This window comes from Homo sapiens, chromosome 8, assembly GCF_000001405.40.
Source record: "Homo sapiens chromosome 8, GRCh38.p14 Primary Assembly".
Lineage (NCBI taxonomy): Eukaryota > Metazoa > Chordata > Mammalia > Primates > Hominidae > Homo > Homo sapiens.
This window is the reverse complement of record NC_000008.11, coordinates 28,910,221-28,935,572: the sequence shown is the minus strand read 5'-3', so window position 1 is coordinate 28,935,572 and position 25,352 is coordinate 28,910,221. Positions and strand designations below refer to the sequence as shown.

Below are 25,352 nucleotides of genomic sequence, written 5' to 3'. Positions count from 1 at the left end.
TCTTAGGTTTAGGACTATAATCTACTCAACTTAATTTCTGTATATAGTATGAAATAAGAGTCAAGAAATGCTCCCCCTTACCCTCAAATGGATATCCGGTTCTTCCACCAACATTTGCTCAATGAATTACCTTAGCATATTCGCCAAAAATTAATGAGCCATAAACAAAAGTCTTTCCAGTCTCTATTCTGTTCAACTGATCTATCCTATGCTAACATCACACAGTCTTAAGTTGTGTAATTCCTCTACTTTTTTTTAAATTGGCTTATTATAGGTATTCTGAATTTCCATATAAATGACAGACTAAGCTTATCAAGTTCTATAAAAGCCTCCCAGGGATTTGATTGAGATCGGGTTCAACCTATCAACAATTTGGAAAGAACTGAAAATTACAAATTATTGAGTCTTCTGATCCATCAACATAGTATATATCTTAATTTATTCAGGTTTTCTTTAATTTATGTCAGCAGTGTTGTATGTTTTTCAGTACCAGGTCTTGTATACATTTACTATTTATTCTTAAGTATTTCATTTTTTGATGCCACTATAAGTGGCAATGTTATTGTGCTTTCCCTTTCCAGTTGTTCATTTCTAATATAACGGTGTACAGAACTAAAAATGATTTATGATTTTTTTTTTTTTTTTTGAGACGGAGTCTCGCTCTGTCGCCCAGGCTGGAGTCCAGTGGCGCGATCTCGGCTCACTGCAAGCTCCGCCTCCCGGGTTCACGCCATTCTCCTGCCTCAACCTTCCGAGTAGCTGGGACTACAGGCGCCTGCCACCGCGCCCAGCTAATTTTTCTTGTATTTTTAGTAGAGATGGGGTTTCACCGTGTTAGCCAGGATGGTCTCGATCTCCTGATCTCGTGATCCGCCCGCCTCAGCCTCCCAAAGTGCTGGAATTACAGGCGTGAGCCACCGCGCCCGGCCAATTTCTGTATATTATTTCATGTATCCTGTGACTTTACTAAACTAACTTAATAATTCTAAGAGTTTTTACAAACATATCCCTTAGGATTTGTTTTACAAGCACAATTAGGTTGTCTGTGAATAGAGACAGCTTTGGTTCTTTTTTCTGTAGTCCATATGCCTTTTATTTTCCTATTTTACTGGTGAGGAGCTATAGTATATTATGAATAGCAGTAGTACCTGCAGAAATTCTTGCCCTGCTGCCAGTCCCAAGAGAAAAGCATTCATTCAGTCTTTGACCATCAAGTACAATCTAAGTTTTGGGTATTTAGTAGAAACCCTCTATCAGTTTAAGAAAGTTCTTTTCTATGCCTAGTTTGTTAAGTTTTGGTTTGCTTTTACATTACGAATGATGTCTTTCTGCATCTATTGAACTGATTAGTTTTTCTACTTGAGTCTGTTAATATGGTGAATCATATTGATTTTAGATTGTTAAACCATTGTTACATTTTTTGATATACAAACCTTTTAGTCATCAGGTATTAACCTTTTATTTTTATACTGCTGGATTCAATTTGTTATTTTATCATTTTCTAATATTTTATTAAGGATTTCTGCATATGTTTCTAAGGGACACTGGCCTACAGATTTCCTGTAATGTCTCTGTCTTAGCATTCTAGTAATGCTGGCCTCATGAGTTGAGAAGTGTTACCTTTCTCTTCTGTTTTCTGAAAGAGTTTATATGAAATTGGCATTCATTATTTCTTCCTTAAATATTTGGAAGAACATTAATTAATTCACCATTAAGCCATGCAGTTTTCTTTGCACGAAAGGTTTTTAGCTATAAATCCAATTTCTTTAAAAAACATATTAAAGTCCACTATAGACTTTAATAGGGGTTTTCAGATTATTTCTTCTTGAGTGAGCTTTGATAATTTGTGTCCATCAAGAAATCTGACCATTTATCAAAGTTGTCAAATTTACAGGAATAAAGTCGTTCATAATATTCTCTTATTATTCTTCCAACGTTTGTAGATTCTGCAGTAATATCACCTCTTTCATTCCAGATATTGGTAATTTGTGCCTCTTCTTTTTTTGTAGATCAGTCTACCTAGAGGTATATCAATTTTATTGATCTTGATTTCAAAGCACCCAGCTTTGGGAGGTTCACTGATTTTCTTGCTTTTCTATTTTATTGATTAATGTTCTTGTATTTAACTCCCTCTGTTTACTTTGGGTTTAATTTGCTCATTTTTATCTAGTTTCTTAAGCTGGAAGCTCAGATCGCTTATTTGGCAGTCTATTTAGTTGACAGGTCTCTGAATCAAGAGTTGCCATACTGGGGGAACTGAACTTGAGAAGCCTTATTCACATAGGGACCTGATGTAGATCAAGAGATCATGGACTTGGAGAGTGTGGTTGCAAACAGGTATGGTTTTTTGGTATTTAGGGAGAGGATGAGTGTCTGCATGTGGGAGAAATATGAATTGCAGTGGCTAGAGGGTAGACCATGATAGATTATTTACATAGATTATCATAACTGCTCCTTCACAATGTGACTTTCCCCTTCTTTCCATCAAAAAAAAAGAGTACAGGATCTGACTGGACTTGGACCCGCTTTTATAAACAGAATGTGACAAAAATGAGGTTATATGACTTTTGACTATAAATCTTGAGCCTCTGCTAGCTTCTGCTTTTCACTTTCTTGGAGAGCTACACAGAGATCACCATGTAAAGAAAATGATCTAGTTTATTGGAAACTGCCTTGGTTCTCTGATTTAATACCAGATCTCCATCATCAGGGAGTATGAAGGCACTCCAAGCAACAGTTAGACATGTAGTTAAGGCCATTTTGCACCTTCTAGCCTAGCCACACCTCTGCCTAAATGCAGCTCCTGAGGAAGCACAGACAAAATCAACAGAATAACAACCCAACCAAACTTCAAAATCATAAGAAATAGTAAATTCTTGTTGTTTTAAGTCATGTAGTTTTGAAGTGGTTAGTCAGTCTACAAATAAACTACTGAGTGCTGATAAAAAAATAGATGAAAAGGTTTTGTTCTTGAAGGTTTGATAATAAGGGGAAAACATATGGAAGATTAAAGTCGACTGAAATACTGCTAACCCTACTTTTTTAAAACCACGAAAGTAAAAAGAAAAAAAAGATGAGTATGAGGCAGAAAAACTTAAATAAGGGCTTCCTATAATTTATACACTAGCTTTACACTGTCTATCAGTGTCTACTAATCCCTCTCTTTAGAAAGCAGAATTTACAAGCCATTCTCAATGGTAGTCAGAATCACCCTTCAACCATAACTCAAATAATGTCATACTCCCACTTAAAATCTTGCAATTGGCTTCCTACTGTACATAGGATAAAATTTAAATTCCATCTCATGATCTATACTGCCTTATAAGATTTGGCATCTGCCCTTCACTCACCATTCCCTAGGCACAGTTGCCGTCTTTCTGATCCTTGAATACCCCAAGCCCATTCCTCCTTTTAGATATTTCAACTGTTCATTCTGCCTAAAATATTCTTTTCACGTTTGATTCCTTCTTATTACTCAGGTACTAGTTTAAATGTCACATCAAAGAGACCTTTCTTGAGCCCCTAAGTTTAAAATACTATCATAACCCTGACTTATATGCTTCTAGCACTTACTACTATCTAAAATTATTTATTATATATGTCCTCCCAACCTTATCAAAGTAGAGATTGTTTCAGGCTCATTCACCATTCTATCCCAGGATCTTACACAGTGCCTGGCACATAAAAGGTGCTTGTTTTCCTAGTAATTACATTATGTAAAGATAAGGTATTGGCTGGGTGCAGTAGCTCACGCCTGTAATCCCAGCACTTTGGGAGGCCATGGCAGGAGGATCACTTGAGTCCAGGAGTTCCAGACTGGCTTGGGCAACATAGGGAGGTCCCATCTCTACAAAAATGAAAAAATAAGCTGGGCACAGTGGTACACTCCTGTGGTCCCAGCTACTTGGGAGGCTGAGGTGGGAGGATCACTTGGGCCTGGGAGGTAGAGGCTGCAGTGAGATGTGATTGTAACACTGCACGCCAGCCTGAGTGGCACAGCAAGATCCTGTCTCAGAAAACAACAACCACCACCAAGATAAGGTATTAGTTTTGGACTTTCACTCTATCCCACTGAGAAGGGGGATAAGAAAGATCAAGCTCCCTATTAATGGAAAACTAAGTATTTTGAAAGGTACAAGTATTAGATTATCTAATAAGTTGTCACACTTAACTAAATATGGTCTTCTCTAGTACAACCCCCGCACTTCATGCTACAGACCAGGACTACGCATGAGCACAGGAAGCAAAACTAGTGTTTCCACGGACAAAGTTTAGACTATAACTGTCTTCACAGAAGAACTGAAAACACAATCTAAACTGTCACTATATAACTTTCTACACTTGTTATTTTTCAATCACGAAATATATATTAGGTGTTGAAAAATAATCTAGCTAGATTTTTAAATCTGCTCACCTGAAATGAGATGTAAAAATTACTATTAAGTTTAATGCAAAAAAATCACTTTTTTAGTTAACATTTCATACCAAAAGTCAACATGATAACAACAACAAAAAAGAGAGTTGAGGAGAAAGGGCAGACAAATCATTCCCAAAATGATTTCTGATGACTCTCTCAGTACCATGTCATATAATCATAGATCATTTACCAATCATTTATATTCAGAATACACAGCTAGGTGCTAGGTGACATGTTCCCTACCATCAAAAGTTTCACAATCTAAATGTCGAGATAAGACAAATATAGTTAACACAAATCAAACAATAATTTAAGGATGCACAGGCTAAATAACACATGGTATAAAAAATATATGTTACAACTGATTCAAAGAAGTGAATGATCACTGAGACTCTGATTTCAAAAAGTAAGATTTCAAAAAGGATATAGGAGGAAAGAAGGGAGGGAGAGAATTCCAGGGAAGTGGAATTGCTATAACAAAGATGCTGAGAAAGAAAAAAACACAAAGTATGCTTAAGGATACTGATTAGACTGGTTTGATTTAAACCTGGGGCTGGTAAAGGTAACAGTGAGGGAAAAAGACAAAGCCTAACAACCACAGTGATATTTGCATAATACTTCACTTATGTTATTTGACTACCAAAACAGCAGCACAAGAAAGGGTAGATTGTAGAGGGCCTTGAATACCAGGTTATAAATATCTAGCAGCAGTATCTACACGTCTAAGATGGAATACTCCATCATTAGAAGATAAAGAAACTAGAGGCAGGGAGACTAGTTATGACAGTTCAGCAATAAGCTAAAAAGGACCCAGGTTAAAGTGACAGCAGTGGGAACAGAAAGGAAGAAATTTATAAGGCTATAGTGATAACTGGGGAAGGAGATAAAAAGGCTACCAGGTCTTAGACCTCAGTTACTAGGAGAAGGATGGCAGAATTGAGAGAAATATTTAAGTCCAGATGGGGAGGAGCTGTTTTTAGTAGTAAAGAGTCTGGTTCAGACATATGAGTTTGAAGCAACAGCAGCACATCCAGTTTCTAGAACCTCTGTCACTCATTCCAAAGACAGTCTTCTATGCCCACCATCACCCTAACCAAGAGAAATATGTTTCCCTGACATTAGGCCCAGTGCCCTTCTTTCTCAAAAAGACTGCTGATGTAGGAGGCAGGAATGAGGAGTGACTTATGATTACAGAGTCTCCATTGGCGGGGCGGGGGGCGGGCGGGGGGCGGGGTGTTAGAAACGTTCTGAAATTAGAGGCAATGGCTATTCAACATTGTGAACACACTAAATGCTACTGAATTGTACACAGAGGTACAGTAAAAAGGATCAAGAGTGTGGGTGGCAGGGGATAGCAGTGCTTCACTTTAAAATAGTCAAGAGTGGGCCTCACAAATTTATTTCTCCAACTCGGAAATTTCCTGTGAGCTCCAGACATGCATATTCAACAGCTCATCAAATTCAAGCAGGTCCAAAGGGAATGCATAAATGCCTTTGCCATCTCTCTATCCCAAACAAATACAATAAACAATAACAACCATCCTAGTTCAATAAAGAGAAATAACCTCCAAGAACACTGTAAAAGCCAGACCTTGAAGCTATTTTAGTATCTTACACGCTCTCATTCTTCCCCATATCCAATTCAAAGTCCTGTCAATTTAACATCCTAAATATTTCTGGCATTTGTCATCTGTCTCTATCAATAGCCATCACCACTGCCACCACTACTACCCAAATGCAGGCTACCATCACCTTTATTTGATCAGTCTTTATTCAACTTGCCTTCTCACTTCCCTTCTCACAATCATTCTTTACAGAGCCAACAAGAATGAGATTTTCCAAACATACCCTTCAACTTGCTTAAAACACTTCATATGCTTTCACTGCTCTTACGATGAAGATTAATTTCCTTAAAACTTGATACAAAAAGCCATGGGTAATCTGACCCCATCCCACCCTTTCATACTCATTTTGTACCACGCCTCTCAGATTTATTTCCCCAAAACTTTATTGGGGCATAAGAGACAAATAGAAATTATATGTATTTAAGGCATGCAATGTGATGTTTTGATATATGTATACATTGTGAAATGATTACCACAATCAAGCTAATTAACATATCCATCACCAAACATCATGTAGTTACCATTATGTACATTAAGTCTCCAGAACGTATTCATCTTATAACCAACAGTTTGCACCCTTTGACCAACACATCCCCATTTCTCCCCCTGCAACCTACCTTTGGTAATTACCCTTCTATTCTATTTCTATGAGTTCAACTTTCCCTTCTATTCTATTTCTATGAGTTCAACTTCTAAAGATTCTACATACAAGTGAGATCATGTGGAATTTGTCTTTCTGTGCCTGGTTTATTCCACTTAGCATAATGTCCTCCAGGTCCATCCATGTTGCCACAAATAGAAAGTTATCCTTATTTTCTCTTTGATGCAACAATATCCTTGTTTTCTAATGAATAATTTTGCATTGTGCATATGTGTGTCATACACACTCTACATTTTCTTTATTTATCTGGGGACAGAACTTAGGTTGTTTCCATATCTTGGCTATTGTGAATAATTCTGAAATGAACCTGAGAGTGCATGGATAGTGACTTTATTTCCTCTGGATATATAACCACAAGTGGGATTGCTGGCTCTTATATAGTCATTCTGTTTGTAATTTTTTGAGGAATTTCCATATTGCTCTCCATAACAATTGTATATATATGTAACAATTTGCATTCCCAATAGACCTCTCAGATTTCTTGAGTCTAATCATACCAGCTGATCCTTATACTTGTCAAATTCCAACTAACTACTGGGCTTCTGCTTTGATTGGTTTTCTCTTCTCTCTTAGACTGGTTAACTTCTATTCATCCTTCAGATATTAGCTCAAGAGGTATTTTCTTGGGAAGTTTTCATTGACTTCCCATACTAGGGCAAACTGGTATGCATAACACCCTGCATCTTTACTTTAGAACAGTTGTTTATGGTAGTAGTAGTAGTTCTTTTTTTTTTTTGAGACGGAGTCTTGATCTGTCACCAGGCTGGAGTTCAGTGGTGTGATCTCGGCTCACTGCAACCTCCACCTCCCGAGTTCAAGTGATTCTCCTGCCTCAGCCTCCCAAGTAGCTGGGACTACAGGTGCACGCCACCACGCCCAGCTAATTTTTGTATTTTTAGAAGAGACAGAGTTTCACCATGTTAGCCAGGATGGTCTCGATCTCTTGACCTTGTGATCCGTCTGCCTCAGCCTCTCAAAGTGCTGGGATTACAGGCGTGAGCCACCACGCCTGGCTTTTTTTTTTTTTTTTTTTTTTTTGAGACTGAGTTTCGCTTTTGTTGCCCATGCAACAAAACTCCCAACCTCAGATGATCTGCCCACCTTGGCCTCCCAAAATGAGTAGTAGTTTTTTATAAAAGTTGTTCCAGTGGGTACATATGGTTTGTTTGTACCTACCAAGTCTCATGTTGAAATCTGATCCTCACTGTTGGTGATGGGGCCTAGTGGAAGGTGTCTGGGTTGTGGGGGCAGATTCCTCATGAATGGCTTGGTGTTATTCTCAAGGGAGTGAGTGAGTTCTCACTCAGCACCTCCCTCTCTTCCTTCTCTTTTTCCTCCTCCTCCTACTACCTTGCCATGTGATCTCTGCACTCAGGCTAGCTTTTGCCTTCCACCATGAGTGGAAGTAGCCTGATACCCTCACCAGATGCAGACGCTGGTGTCACGCTTCTTGTATAGCCTGCAGAACCATGAACCAAATAAACCTCTCTTCTTTGTAAATTACCCAGCTTCAGATATCCCTTTATAGTAACACAAATGGACTAAAAGTGATAAGTTTACTATTTTAAAATATATATTTTTCTTTTTAATTTTTGTGGATACACAGTAGGTATATACATTTATCGGTTACAAGAGATATTTTGATACAGGCATGCAATGCATAATAATCACATCAGCATAAATGGGGTATCCATCCCCTCAAGCATTTTATCCTTTGTATTTCAAGCAATCTGATTATACTCTTATTTTAAAATGTACAAATAAGTTATTTTTCACTATAGCCATCCTGTTGTGCTAGCAAATACTAGGTCTTATTCATTCTTTCTAACTATTTTTTTAGTACCCATTAACCATCCCTACTTCTTCCCTAACCCCCTACTATTCTTTCCAGCCTCTGGTAATCATCCAACAATTTTATATTTTTTGAATGGATCATGTGATTAAAAACTCCCTACCTCACAAAAATTGCTATGGAAAAACTTAAAACAGACTATTGAGTTCATAGTACTAAAACCTTCTTTTACAGGCCAAGTGTGGTGGCTCACACCTGTAATCCCAGCACTTTAAGAGGCCAAGGTGGGAGAATCCATTGAGGCCAGAAGAGTGACCCCATCTCTACAAAAAGTTTTTTTAAATTAGCTAGGCATGGTGGTATACACTTGTAGTCCTAGCTACTTAGGAAGCTGAGGCAGGAGGGTCACTTGAGCCCAGGAGTTTGAGGTTAACAATGACTGCGCCACTGCTCTCCAGCTAGGGCAATACTGCACCCTTGCCTGGGGGACAGAGTAAGACCCCATCTCAAAAAAGAAAAAAATTTAAAAAGCTCTACTTTATAAAGTTTACTCCAGTCAATTACAGATTAAAGTTAACTATGCCTCTTAGGCTAGATGTGGAATAAGTCATGAGGTTGTTAGAAGCATTCAGTTTTTTCTGGCAGAAGTATTCTCTCAAACTCAAAGGTAAAATTTGAACATTACAAAGATATTTAATACATCTAGTCTATCTACTTCTAAATGAATATTTGTATTTTATGTATCTAAAATATATGTGTGTGTGTGTGTGTGTATATATATATATATATATATATCTGCCATGAATAAATACATATATGTTTATCTCTAATAAAGTCACACTGCAGCCTCAAACTCCCGGGCTCAGGTAAGCCTCAGTCTCCTGAGTAGCTGGGACTACAGGCATACGCCACCATGCCCGGCTAGTTTTTGCATTTTTTTTGGTATAGACGGGGTTTTGCCATGTTGCCCAGTCTGGTCTCAATCTCCTGGGCTCAAGCCATCTGCCTGCCTTGCACTCCCAAAGTGACAGGATTACATGCATAAGCCACCGCACCTGGCCCAGGTTCATTTTACTGTAAGAAATCATTATAAAAAAAACCTGAAGCTGATGAAGTGTTTATGCTTTGAGTAAATAAACATCATTTAACCATCAAGACACCAGGTTTTAACTGTTTCTAATCTTTCATTTATCACAAGTGTCTAAAAGTAGTAGATTCAAGGTCACCAAAAATAACAATTGAGAGAAAAGTCATTAGCTACTTTTATATTATTTTTAATACATTATTTTTAAAATATAAAAAAGCCTTTATGAGGATCAAATAAAAAGATTTCTTGAAATAAAAGTCTCTCATTAAAAAGACACAAAAGAAGCAACATAATGAGGAAGAAATGGAATAGATGGATACTTGTAAAATAATGAGAGAGATTTTTTTTTTCACTGCCAGGGTCAAAACCTCAAGGCTGAGTCTGTATTTCTGACAGGGTCAAGGTGGTTTACCTGCAGTGCTTTACTAAAAACAACACATCTTATTTTCAACTATAGAACTCTATGTGCTTTCAAAACATTTTCCCCATTACCACCACATAACTGAGAGCAAACAATAATGAATATAGTGTTTGCCAATAAACAAAAGAAAGGATTAAACAATAACTACATGGCTGCCATTTAAAAAGAACAAAACTAGAACTAAAGAACACCCTGAAGAAAAAAAACAAAACAGTTTTCTCTGCAACCAGGCTGATCAGATGCAAACCTTGGGTTATTCTCCCTTTAAAGTATTCTTATTCAGGAGCTAAGTTCTTAGTCACTGGTACAAAACACCCCATGCACTCTGAACCACAGACAATACACCAACAAAATGTGTACGCCTGTGTTCTACTAAAACCTGATTTGTGGACAATGAGATTTGAACGATATAACTTTCACATGTCACATAATATTATTCTTTTAATTTTTTAATTAAAAATTTAACATCATTCTTAGGTTATGACTGAACAAAAACAGATGGTGAATCCAATTTGGCTTTAGGCCATAGTTTATCAACTCCTAGTAAAAAAAAAAAAATCACTAATAGGAAAGATAACAGGTTCTGCTCTTATATGTAATTCATAACTTCACTGAACTTCACTTTCTTCAACTATTAGAAAAAAAAAAAAAAAAAAGAGGCTGGGCGCGGTGGCTCATGCCTGTAATCCCAGCACTTTGGGAGGCCGAGGCGGGTGGATCACCTGAGGCTGAGAGTTTGAGACCAGCCTGACCAACATGGAGAAACCCTGTTTCTACTAAAAATACAAAATTAGCCGGGCACGGTGACACATACCTGTAATCCCAGCTACTCAGGAAGCTGAGGCAGGAGAATCACTTGAACCCAGGAGGCGGAGGTTGTGGTGAGCTGAGATTACACCATTGCACTCCAGCATGGACAAGAGCGAAACTCTGTCTCAAAAAGAAAAGAATACCATATACAAGAATCACCTCAAAACGGATCAAATACCTAAACATAAGAATTCAAATTATAAAACTCTTAGAAGAAAACAGGGGAAAATCTTTATGACATCAGATTTAGCAAGGATTTCTTGGGCAAGACACCAAAAGCACAGGTAACCAAAAAAAAAAAAAAAAAAATTAGATAAATTGTATTTCATCAAAATTAAAAACTTATGTGCAGGGCCGGGCATGGTGGCTCACACCTGTAATCCCAGCACTTTGGGAGGCCGAGGGGGCAGATCACGAGGTCAGGAGATCGAGACCATCCTGGCTAACATGGTGAAACCCCATCTCTACTAAAAATACAAAAAAAAATTAGCCAGACGTGGTGGCGGGCACCTGTAGTCCCAGCTACTCGGGAGGCTGAGGCAGGAGAATGGCGTGAACCCGGGAGGCGGAGCTTGCAGTGAGCCAAGATCATTCCACTGCACTCCAGCCTGGGCGACAGAGCTAGACTCCATCTCAAAAAAAAAAAACCAAAAAAAAACACTTATGTCCAAAGGCCACTCTAATGAGACAAAAAATAACCTACATAATCGGAAAATATATTTGCAAATCATGTATATCTGAGACGAGATTATCCAAAATATATTAAGAACTACTAAACTTAACAACAACAACAAAAAAACAGCCTAATTAAAAAATGGGCAAAGGGTTTAAACAGGCATTTCTCCAAAGAAGATATATAAATGACCAATAAGCACATGAAAAGATACCCAAGGACATTAGTCATTAGAGAAATACAAATCAAAACCTCAATGAGATACCACTTCACACTACGATGGCTAAAATTAAAAAAAACAAAAAATACAAAAGAAAAAAATGTTGGTGAGGACGTGAAAAAGTGGTACCCTTGTATATATTGCTGGTAGGGATATAAAATGGTACAGCCACTGTGTAAACAGTTTGGGAGTTCCTCAAGAAGTTAAACAGAATTACAAGATGACCCAGCAATTCCACTTCTGGTGTACTTTAAAGCATCTCTAGATTACTTATACTATCTAATACAATGTAAATGCCATGTAAATAGTTGTTATACTGTATTGCTTAGGGACAAATGACAAGAAAAAAGTATTGGTACATATCCCAAAGAAATGGAAACAGGTGTTCAAATGTAAACTTCGTTAGCTCCTGGTTTTAGCTCTTATTTCATAGCAATATCCATCAATTTGGACAATTTGAATGGATAAAATGTGGCATATCCACAAAATGGAGCATTATTCAACTGCAGAAATTAATGAGTCATGCTACAATATAGATGAACCCTGAAAACCCTGGCTATGCAAAATAAGCCAGATCCAAATAGTAGTATACTGCGTGATTCTGTTTATATGAAATGTCCAGAACAGGCAAATCCATAGAAACAGAAAGTAGACCTGCAGTTGCTAGGGGATGAGGGCAGGAGAGAATTAGGAGTGACTGCTTAATGGGTATAATTTCCTTCTAAACTGAACCCTAGATGAAAAACTTCTGAACCAGACAGTGGTGACAGTTGTGCAACACTGTAAATGTATTTAATGTCACTGAATTGTACTCATTAAAATAGTTAAAATAGTCAATTTTAGGTTATGTGTATTTACATAATTTTAAATTTTAAGAAAACAAAAGAACAAGTACAAAAAAGGGATAATGCCCATCTACCTGTAGGCTTTTTTATAGTATTACTTGATGTGTAAAGAGAGATCAGACACATAGCATCACTTTAATCACAATAAATTATTATTATTCCAGGAAACTATTATTATGCCACAAAAGTATGGTTGCTACCAAAGCACACTCTGGATAAATGAGATTTCACAGTAGTAACTCATAGAATATATTAGAAATAATATATTGTTACTCCTCTTCAAACACAACTTAATGTGTTCAAAGTCTCCATTACAGATTAAGAATAATTTAAGAAAATAACATAAAATTAATGCCTGGTGAGTTAACTAGAGGTCTGAGAACTGTCTGAAATTATGTGGAAATTGTGTATGTGTATTACTGTAAGAATTCATAATTTTTAGATTTCAACGGTACCCAGGTTAATAACTACTGATAAGCCACAAAGAAAACATTAAACAAAGAATGTTTTGCTTCATTTCTCAAAGCACAGATTTGATTTTGCAAAGATAAAAGTACTTTAAAAAGTAGAATTCAAAAATAAAAGCCCAACAAAGTGTTGTCCTATTACAGTTGTCCCTTGGTATCTTTGGGCGATTGGTTTCAGGACCACCCTCCGTCCCACCTCCCCACAGACATCAAAATCCATGGATGCTCAAATCCCTTATGTAAAATAGCGTAGCATTTGCAAAGAACCTACGCACAACCTCTGGTGTACTTTAAAGCATCTCTAGATTACTTATACTATCTAATACAATGTAAATACCACGTAAATGGTTGTCTGACTGTATTGTTTAGGGAATAATAAGGAAAAAGTCTGTATTTGTTCAGGACAGACACAACCTTTACTTTTTCTTCCCCATATATTTTTGATCCATAGCTGCATAAATCCATGGATGTGGGACCAACAGATATACAGAACCAACTATATTTCCAGGCAAAATTTAAGTTTGGCCTCCTCCCTGTAGCTTTTCCTGATGACATTAGTTCATAATTGTCTCCCTTTTCTAATACTCCTCTTCTAAGTATTACTTTTGTGATGGTTAGCTTCTTATGTACTCATTTGTTGATTTAGCATAATTCATCACCTTAGTATGTACTACCTTGATCCCAAGCATTTCTGCATATAGGTCTTCTCTATCTCCATAAATGAGAAGCTACTCAAGTGATAGAGCTTTTGTATTTTACTTATTTAGTAGCCCTACAACATAAAAGACAACACATAACTATTTTATTTTTATAAGCTTCCTATGTCTTTTAAAATTAAATATAAGCATGTTTTATGGTATATGTTCTGTACTTCAAATGAGGATGTGTATTTTGGAGTAATTTTGCAGTTATCATAACACTGAATAATGAATGAAACATATGCAGTTATCAAATCCATCATTAAAGTATCTCGTAATCATGTTGGTTCATTTGGTCAACCATATCTACTAATACTTTGTGGTATTATTGGTAGTATTCATTCTTGCCTATTTTACTTACATGTAGAGAAGCTTTATTAAAATCTTTCTCAAGTCTACAGGTTTCCTTTATACAGTATATTCACTACATGACAAACTAAAAATAACAGGTCATAATCCATCATCCTGATATCAAGTGATGGTCAAACGTCTATGGAAATATTTTTGGTTTAGGTATGATTGAGACAGGGTCTCACTCTGTTGCCCAGGCTGGAGTGCGGTGGCATGATCTCAGCTCACCGCAACCTCTGCCTCCCAGGCTCAAGTGATTCTCCTGCCTTAGCCTCCCGAGTAGCTGGGATTACAGGCATATGCCACTACCACCTGGCTAATTTTTGTATTTTTAGTATAGACGGGGTTTTACCATGTTGGCCAGGCTGGTCTTGAACTCCTGATCTCAAATGATCCACCCGCCTCAGCCTCCCAAAGTGCTGGGATTACAGGCGTGAGCCACTGTGCCTAGCCAGGTTTAGGGATGATTTTAAATGCTTATGAAATGTTTGTTTTAAAGATTTATTTATATCATAATGTTATAGTGCATTTAGTACCACTTATTACAAATCATTCTGGAATCCATAAAAGTTTTCTTATATTTTTTGTCTGGTTTATGTTAGAGTATGTTATTCTTTAAGTCAGATATAAAGTAAAATAACATAAATCTCTACTTAAATTTCACTTACCCTAGCTTCTCCACTATGATTATTTCATCTACTGATTGTCTGGTCTCTCAAAAGATAGATGAATACTTTTCTGACACTCTCCTCTAAAAAATCAAGGCAGATTAAGCACTTTCCTTCTACACCACCTTGAGCATGTTTCTATTATGGCAACAATCATACTTCTTGGCTCGTTTATATTCATATCTCTTTCATCAGACAGTAAACCTAGCCACAGTCTCCAGCATGGTAGGTACTCAATAAATGCCCATTAATTTCTTTGAGGAAATATTTGGGTATGAGGGCACTATGCATAAATGAATACATGCTTACAGAGAATCATTTAAAAAGATAAATCTCACGAGATAATCTAATCATATAATATCTTAACAGTTACATCTTTTCCATTATGGCAACACAAAAAATTCTCATAATAAAATGTAATATATTTAAACTTCAGGCAAATACTGCCTAGGGTTTTAATTTATAAGCAAATATGAAGGGCTTATGAGTTTGGATGACCAATTGTATTATTCACAACTATATTCCAAGGCCCTACCATAGTACCTTGTTTATAGTAGGAACTCAATAGTGATTTGATAAATTAGTTAATAAAAACAGGTTAACGAATTTGATGCAGAGAGGCACAAGTTAGTAAATGGTATCTGGAGCTAAGAAACAACGAATATAAATAAAAGGTTAACATATAAATTTGAAACTAGGTTGTCAAGTTTACCTGGTTGATGTAAAATCTTGGAAGAAGTGTAGAAAAAAATGCTGCATCTGTCACAATAAATGTTCTTGTTTATTCATAAGCCAGCCCTGTGTGCAATACATCTCTAGGTCTAGCTATTGAAAAACACACACACACACACACACACACACACACAAAACTTCACTTGTTCTTTATAATATTTAGCATTTGAAATACACTTTTGACTATGGCTTTCATTTTAAAATTAAGCTATAACACTGATCTCTTGAGTATTCATTTTACAAAAGAATTTAAAATAGGATTTTATTGTTTTAGCTTTGCTTGTTCTTGCTTAGGTCATGTGTAACAAAATTTGATTTACAAAAATACAAATTATATACTACCTTCCAAGGAAATGGATTTTGCCAAAAGAAAATAAAAATGTGTGTGGGTATTGTGTATTACTATGACATCCAAAATTATAAACAAGTCATTCAAGTTGTGGACATCTTACATCTTTTGCCTATACAGTTGGCCCTCCATATCCATGAGTTTTACATCTGAGGATTCAATCAACTATGGAAATCTGCAGCTAATAAACAATCCACTGTATTGTTTATTGAAATTATTGAAAATACAGCATTGTGCTATCTGTAACGCAATAAATACTGAGATTAAGTATAGACCAAATATTCAATAAAGAAATAATGTCAATTCTACTCAATTTCTTCCAGAAAATATAAGGGAAGAAAACATTTCCCGAATCATTTTATGCAGTCAAAATTATCCCAATAAAAAGGCCAGAGAATTAAATTACATGAAAATACAGTATTGTGTTGGCTATAATACAATAAATACTGAAATAAATACAGTGTTTTCCATCCATGGTTGGTTAAATCTGCAGATGAAGAACCCTTGGATACAGAAGGGCCATCTAAGGGACTTGAACATCAGCAGATTTTGGTAGCCAAAGGGAGTCCTGGAACCAATTCCCCACAAACAAAGGCACAGTCAAAAACATAGTGTACAGTTAGAAGGCTAACTGTATCTGTTACTGGGTTAATCCTTCACCAATGGAGAAAAATTTATGACATGAACACTGAGCAGTCAATATTCTGTCACTTTCCTCTCTGTTTTCCTCAAGAAAAAGAACTTCCCTGTTTTCTAATTCCCTAATTTTTCTATTTAGAATTGATAGTATAAAGAAATACTTTAAAAGTTGCTATAGTTATTTGGATGTCTTCAGAAGTTCCTGCTGTTTTTAAAACAGGGTTATGACTTTACACACTGAATACAGGTGTGTAAACAACTTTGATAATATATCATAAATAGCAGCAGACCTTATGTGTTTATTCATGTTCCAGAAAATGACTATGTTATTGATGACAGTGATACTTACTACTTTAAAATACTTATGTTAAATGGAAGGTGGGAAGCACTTAAACTCGGCGTGCTGGTGGTAAAATGATGTTTATAAACTCAAATACAGCACAAACATTTCACGAGTTATGATTTTTTGATAATGAAAGAGGGAACATCATTAGAGACCCTATAGAGGTTAAAAGTACCAAGTAATACTATAAACAAGTCTATGTCCATAAATTCAGTAACTCAGATGAAATGGACCAGCTCCTTGAATACATACACTACCAAAAGAAACAACATGGCCAGGCGTGGTGGCTCACGCCTGTAATCCCAACACTTTGGGAGGCCAAGGCAGGCGGATCACAAGGTCAGGAGATTGAGACCATCCTGGCTAACACGGTGGAACCCCATCTCTACTAAAAATACAAAAAATTAGCCAGGCGTGGTGGCATGCACCTGTAGCCCCAGCTACTTGGGAAGCTGAGGCAGGAGAATCTCTTGAACCTGGGAGGCAGAGGTTGTGGTGAGCCGAGATCGCGCCACTGCACTCCAGCCAGGGCGACAGAGCAAGAGTCCATCTCAAAAAATAAAAATAAAAATAAAAATAACATGAATAGTTGAATAGCTCTTAAGGAAACTGAGTTCATAGTTTAAAAATATCACAACCAAGAAAACTGCAGGCCTGGATAGTTTCACTGGCCAATTTGACCAAATATTCAATGAAGAAATAATGGCAATCCTACTCAGTCTCTTCCAGAAAATAGAAGAGAAGAAAGAATTTCCCAAATCATTTTATAAGGCCAGCATATTATCCTAGTACAAAAGCCAGAGGATTAAATTACATGACAGGAAAACTAATATCCCTGATGAACACAGATGAAAAAATCCTCAACAAAACTGTAGCCAACTGAATCCAGCAATATATGAAAAGAACAATACAACATGCAAGGTTTATTCAGTATTCAAAAATCAGTCAATGTAATTCTCCATAATCACAGACTAAATAAGAAAAGATGAAGAAAAAGCACTTGATAAAAGTTAATATAATATCTTATTCATGACCAAAACTCGGAGCAAACTAGAAATAGAACCTCCTTAAACTGATAAATGGCATCCATGAAAACCCTAAATATATCATATTTAATAATGAAAGATAAAATGCTTTTGCCTTAACACTGAAAACAGACAAGTCTGTCCATTCTAACCACTACTATTCAGTATCATACCAAAAGTTTTAGTCAGTATAATACAGTAAGGGAAAAAAAAAGCACAGACTGGAAAGGAAAAAGTAAAACCTTTTCTATTCATACGCAATGTGATTGTCATGTAGAAAATCTTAAGGTTTCTAGAAAAAAAACTCTTCAAACTAACGTATGAATTTATCAAGGCTATAAGATACAAGGATAATATACAAAAATCAATTACATTTCTACTTATTAACAATGAACTAACAATCCAATAAAAATATACCATTTATAATAGCACCAAAATCATAAAATATTTAGGCATAAGTCTAATAAATAGATGAAGAATCTGAATGTTGAAAACAACAGAAAAAATCAAAGATGATCTAAATAAATGGAGAGATATACAGTGTTCATGGACCAGAAGACTTAATATTGCTAAGATGTAAATTCTGCCCAAATTGCTCTAACGGCCAACACAATCCCAATAAAAATTCTAGAAGATCTTTTGGTATATATTAACAAGGTAATTCTTTTTTTTTTTTTTTTTTTGAGACAGGGTCTTGCTCTGTCACCCAGGCTGGAGTGCAGTGATATGATCTCTGCTCACTGTAACCTCTGCCTCCTGGGCGCAAGTGTTCCTCTCACCTCAGCCTCCTGAGTAGCTGGGACTACAGGCATGCATCACTAAGTTTGGCTAATTTTTATATTTTGTAGAGACAAAGTCTCACTCTATTGCCCAGGCTGGTCTTGAACTCCTGGGCTCAAGCTATCCTCCCATGTCTGCCTAACAAGCTAACTCTAATATCTGTATGGAAAGGCCAATGAATGAGAATAGTAAAAACAATTTAGATTTAAAAAAAAAAGTTGGAAGACTCATATTAACTGATTGTAAGACTTACAATACCGTAATGAAGATAGTGTGTTCGTAGAAAAGGGACAGACAGATAGATCAATAGAATAGAATAATAGAAAGTCCAGAAACAGACTCACACAAATATGGTCAATTAATATTTGACAAAGGTGTAAAGTCAATTCAATGGAAAAAGGATAGCCTTTTTCAATAAATGGAGCTAGAACACGTGGAAATCTATATCCAAAAACATAAAACCTTGCCCATACCTCAAATCTTCTACACGCATTAACTCAAAATGGGTCACAGACTTACATGGAAAACCCAAAAATATAAAACTTCTAGAACAAAACACAGGAGAAAAACTCTTTGTGAATAGCATAGGATTTGTGATCCTGGGTTATATCCCATGGGTAATTCCTGATTGGCACATACTATTCAGTACATTTCATCCTCCTGGTTACAGTGGCAGGAATCATGGATGATCAGAAGGCCCAATACAAACAATGAAACTCATGGTGACATCTGCTGAGGGATTCTGGGGAAAAATTTCCCCTTACTTAGAGGGCAGATACTGAAAATATGCTGTCTTCTTTCTTAAAGATATGAACAAGAAAACACATAAATCTGCTGACTGCAGTGGCCAACTTGAGAAAATGAGAGCCAGCCTTAAGACAAAGTAGAAACTATAACTGCTGTCCAAAACAGTAGCCTCTGGCTACATGTGGTTACTGGGCCTTTGAAATCTGGCTAGTCCGAATTAAGACATGTTGTAAGAGTAAAATACCAGTTTTGAAGACTTAAGAACGTAAAATATCTCAATTTTTATACTAATTCCATGTGAAATAGTAATATTTTGGAAATACTGAGTTAAATAAAACCTGTTATTAAAATTAATTTTGCCAGGCACAGTGTCACATGTCTATAGTTCTAGCTACTCAGGAGGCTGAGACAAGAGGATCACTTGAACCCAGGAGTTCTGTGCTATAGTGTGCTAAAGCTGATCAGGTGCCCCCACTAAGTATGGCATCAATATGGTGACCACTCAAAGCAGTAGGGAACCACCCAAGTTGCCCAAGGAGGGGTGATCCAGCCCAAGTTAGAAACACAGCAGGTCAAAACTCTCATACACCTGTGAATATAGCCACTGCACTCCACCCTGGGCAACAGAGCAGGACTCTGTCTCTTTTTTTTTTTTTTTTTTTTTTTGAGACAGAGTCTCGCTCTGTCACCCAGGCTGGAGTGCAGTGGCACGATCTTGGCTCACTGCAAGCTCCACCTCCCGGGTTCACACCATTCTCCTGCCTCAGCCTCCCAAGTAGCTGGGACTACAGGCACCTGCCACCATGCCCGGCTAATTTTTTGTATTTTTAGTAGAGACGGGGTTTCACCATGTTAGCCAGGATGGTCTCCATCTCCTGACCTTGTGATCCGCCCGCCTCAGCTTCCAAAAGTGTTGGGATTACAGGCGTGAGCCACGGCGCCCAGTCAGACCCTGTCTCTTTAAAAAAAATGAATTTCATCTGTTTCTTTTTACTTCATAAAATGTAGTAACTAGAATATTTAAATTTTAAAATGTAATAGGCATTATATTCCTATTGGATAGAGTTGCTCTAGGAAGTTGAGAATGCAAAGTAAAACAACACAACACTACAACAACAACAAAGATTACTGATGACATCTTAGAACCTCTGGATCAATTTTTGCCAGAAGTCTTACCTGTCTTTGGATTTTGTGATATATAAACAAATAAATTTCCTTTATAGTTTGTTGGTTTCCATAGAATTTGTTATTTTGCAACTGAACATATCTAATCCAGAAGTACTTCTATAGCCACCTTTGAAGAAATAAAAATATGTTCTGCGGAATTTCCTTTGCAGTTCTTTCACTCTATTTGCATATGCTTATAATGCATTCACTGGTTTTTATAAAGCATTTCATTTCCATTATAGGTATTACAAGTATAACACTGTGTTCAAATAAAGTAGAATATATTCTAACAAGGAAGTTCTCACTGAAATAAGAGCAAAAAAAGAAATTTTCACTGAAATGAAAACCACATATTTATTTTATTAATTCAAATGTTACTGACCCTCTAACTTAGGTTAGGGATGTCAAATAGGCTTCAATGTCACATTAGCTGTCATGGCTGTCTGCAGTGCTGTGGTTCAAAGAATGCTAAGCTGAAGTTTATACAGATGTTTGTCTTGATCAAGACAAGTGAAGGCGTGTGTTCAGATATTTACTTACCTAGCAAAACAGTGCCTGTCCACAGTTTAAAGTGGGAAAAGATGATTCTGATGAGGCGATTTTTTTAAGTGTTTAATTAGTATGTTAAATTTCCCACTGGCCATTCTTTAATAGATGGGGTATCTATTTGATCCCACATTTACAATTTGATCCTTAAGTTCCTAAATACAGATTTTACTATATAAGTCCCAATCGTTTTCTAATATCCTCTTTGACAATGCAGGTTTATAAAATTCTCGGTAGTTTTTCTGTAGATGAATATAAATGTACACACTGAACTTACCCATCTCAAGTGGTTAGGCTGATTTTATTTAATACAAGGAGGCTATCTCTTTTTAAAACAGATCAGGCCAGGCACGGTAGCTCACGCCTGTAATCCCAGCACTTTGGGAGGCCTAGGCAGGCAGATCACTTGAGGTCAGGAGTTCGAGACCAGCCTGGCCAACATGGTGAAACCCCGTCTCTAAAAATACAGAAATTAGCCGGATGTGGTGGCACATGCCTGTAGTCCCATCTACTTGGGAGGCTGGGGCAGAAGAATCGCTTGAATTTGGGAGATGCAGGTTGCAGTGAGCCGAGATTGTGCCACTGCACTCCAGCCTGGGTGACAAGAGTGAGACTCCATCCCTCCGCCCCCGCAAAAAAAAAAAAAAAAAAAAAGAATCACTTGAACCCAGGAGGTGGAGGCTGCAGTGAGATCACGCCACTGCACTCCAGCCTGGGCGACAGAGTGAGACTTTGTCTCAAAATAGATAAATAAATAAAAATAAAACAGATCAAAGGATCTCTATTCACTTAGCAGACGTTACTAAGCATTTACTATGAGTCAAGAACTGTGCTGGGTGCTATGGGGAGAGAAAGAGAAATGCATGGTTCTTAACCCTATGCAGTTTACAGTCTAGTGGGAAAACAGACAAATAATTACAATAAGTTGTAATGTGTACTATAGGGAAAGTACAGAGTATTCCAGAAGCATGTAAGAAAATATCCTAACCTAATCTAGGGAAGTATTTAAAGTAAGACACAAAGAACTAATGGACATTGCCGGGTTGAGAAGTGGGGAAATGGGATGGTGAAGGCGAGGTGGGAGGGTGAATTCACCTACTTAGAGAGAACAGCATGTGGGGTAACAGGCAGGAAAAAGCTTGCCCAACTGAGAAACTTAAAGAAGATTAGCTGGAACATCAAATGCAAAAAGAAAAGTAGTAATAATGTTAGAGATAAGTGAGTGCAAATATGTTGGAGAGTCTTACAAAGCATATTAAATAGTTTGGACTTTACCCTAAGGGCAAGGGTTTAAAAAGACTTAAGGATAACATTATCCATCTTGCTATCCCGTGGGGAAAGAGGGCAAGACCAGCACTAGGGAGTGTCATTAGGAGATTTTACAGTAACCATTCTAGGCCATCACTGACAATGACTTGGATCAGGGTGACTATAGGAGGAAAAGGGAGAAATGGTGAAATGGTGATATTTGGAAACAGAATATAGAAGAGTTAACATGAAGGAAGTAAGAATCAGAGATAATCCTCAGGTTTTTAGCTTGAATAGGTGTTTGATCGTTGGTGTCATTTCCTACAATAAGCAATACTAGAAGTGGAGAAAACTTAAGTATGTTTTTTAAAGCATAAAAAGGCATCTTTGAGATGACTTTGAAACACCCCAAAAGAAATATCTAGTATAAAGTTCTCTCTGGAACTCAACAGAGAGGCCTAGGCTAGTCTGTAAGTGGTAAATGAGGCTATAAAGGTAGATGAGCTTGCTTATGGAGTATGTTTAGACAAGAATAGGGCCTGGAGCAGAGCTCTGAGGAACTTGAAGGGCAAGAAGCAGCCTCCAAAAGAAGAAAACCCAAAACACAGAAGTATCAAAGAAGCCGCAGAAGCAAGTGTTTCATAAAGAAGGAATGATCATTGACAAAAACTGCTGAAATATCAAACCAGAAAACTGAAATTTGTCCATGAATTTTAGCGAAATTGTGAAAAAGAGTTTTGGAGATTAATGAGGGTATACACCAGATTCTGGTGGATTGAAGAGTTCATCAAGAAATGGGGTTGAGAATAGTCAATATTGTCTATAGATGAGAAAACAGAAACATGGCAGAATCTGGATGGGAAAGTGAGGTTGAGGGAGCTTGTGTTTTCTTTTTAAGATGGGAAACACTCGAGATTCTTCAATACTAATAAGATGGAGTACCTATTTTTCATTAAGAAGCTTGAAAATGCCAGATATTCATATCCCAGCTTCCTTTAGAAATACAGTACAGATGCTCCTCAACTTAGCGTAAGGTCACATCCTGATAAACCCATAGTAAGTTGAAAGTATTGTTATGTTGAATACACATTTAATACATCTAACCTATCAAACATCATAGCTTAGCCTAGCCTAATCAAAATGTGCTTAGAACAGTTTCAGTATAGTGTTCAATAAATTAAATGAGATATTCAACACTTTATTATAAAATAGCCTTTGGTTAGATGATTTGGCCCAGCATTGTGAAAAGGTAGCATATCACATATGGCCAGTTGGGAAAGAAGTCAAAATTCAAAATATGAAGTATAGTTTTTACTGAATGCATATCACTTTTGCACCATCATAAAGTTAAAAAATCATTAAGTCAAGCCATGGTAAGTCGGGGACCATCTGTACAGTTGTCCCTTGGTATCTGCAGTGGGCTGGTTCCAAAATACTCCCCTCTGCCCTCCCCCAACCCTGCAGATACCAAAATCTATAGACGCTCAAATCACTTATGTAAAATGGTGTAGTGCTGGTGTCACAACCAGAACGAACCCTCTTAAATAGAGATGACCACTGCAGCAGGGGCAAGTTTTAGGAGCAGCAGCAATAAAAGTCAAGCAGCAGCTAGGCGCGGTGGCTCACGCCTATAATCCCAGCATTTTGGGAGGCCGAGGTGGGTGGATCATTTGAGGTCAGAAGTTCAAGATCAGTCTGGCCAATGTGGTGAAATCCTGTCTCTACTAAAAATACAAAAATTAGCAGGGCATGGTGGCAGGCACTTGTAATCCTAGCTACTCGCCAGGCTGAGGCAGGAGAATCGCTTGAACCCGGGAGGCAGTGGTTGCAGTGAGCTGATATCGCGCCACTGCGCTCCAGCCTAGGCAATAGAGGGAGACTTCAAAAAAAGTCAAGCAGCAGCATTCAGTGGTGCCAGCAGCAGTAAGCAAGCAACAGTATTGCTGTCCTAATCAGACTGCACCTGTGGTGTGGCTCTGACTGGTTTCTGCCAAGGACAGCACCCTCCCCCCAGGTCTTCTCATTGTACAAGCCTGGCTGCAGTCTTCCTAGCAATTCTAAGAGCTTCCTAACATCTATTTAATAAATTTACTTCTAGGTTAAATAGGCCAAAATCAGTTTTTGTTGCTTCCAACTAAGAAATCTGACTGCTTAAGGAATTACAGTAAAAGATGATGTTCTGTCAGTGGTATGGTGGCAAATCGACTCCCCCAGTACAACCACCAGAATATCAGGTTTGAAACACTGACGTGGTCATTTAGCATCACTAAGCAAGTGAACTCTACAATTAGATAATTACTTTCTGAAATAGAGCTGAAGCAGAGTAAGGTACCCTGTCACTGCTCTCTCATTTCATTAGTCTCTGTGATTCTTTAAAATGAGCATGAATTTTAAGAAGAATTGAAAGGTTCCCCTTTCAAAACAAATCAGTAAGAGAAAGAAAAGACAAGGGTTAGGAGAAAATATCTGCAAAACATATTAATATATCTATAAAAGACATGTATCCCAAATACATACAGAATTCTTACAGTTCAATATGATGACAACCCAACTATAAGATGAGCAAATACCTGAATAGATATTTCATCAAAAAAGATATATGAATTGCCAATAAGCACATGAAAACATGCTCAACATCATTAGTTATTAGGGAAATGCAATCCAATACCATTCCCACTAGAATGGCTATAATAAAAAAAGATAGACAATAACAAGTGTTGACAAGGATGTGAAGAAACTGCGACTCTAATACATTGCTGGTGAAACAGTAAAATAGTTTTGCAGTTTCTTAAAAAGCTAAACATAGATACCATGCAAGCCAACAATACCACTTCTAGGTACCTATCCAAGAAATAAAAACATGTTCCCCCAAAAAGTTGCATGCAAATGTCATAAAAGCATTTTTAAAAATATCCTCCAATCTGGAAACATCCCAAACAACCATCAGCTGGTGGACAAACAAAATGTGGTATTTTAAAACAACTGAATGCTATTCAGCAATAAAAAACAGAATATTGATACATGCTACAAAGTGGATGAAC

At 37.1% G+C, this 25,352-nt stretch overlaps 1 protein-coding gene across 35 annotated transcripts in view; it reads right to left on the bottom strand.

The window, feature by feature from the left end:
* HMBOX1 (homeobox containing 1) overlaps positions 1-25,352 on the bottom strand; it is a 163,155-nt gene that overhangs the window by 117,698 nt on the left and 20,105 nt on the right. The window contains exon 2 of one of the 35 annotated variants that reach the window (NM_001324393.2): positions 10,818-10,933. The exons of the other annotated variants lie outside the window; for them this stretch is intronic. The gene's annotated coding sequence lies outside the window, so the exon portion shown is untranslated. The remainder of the gene's footprint in view (positions 1-10,817; positions 10,934-25,352) is intronic. 35 annotated transcript variants of the gene reach the window in all.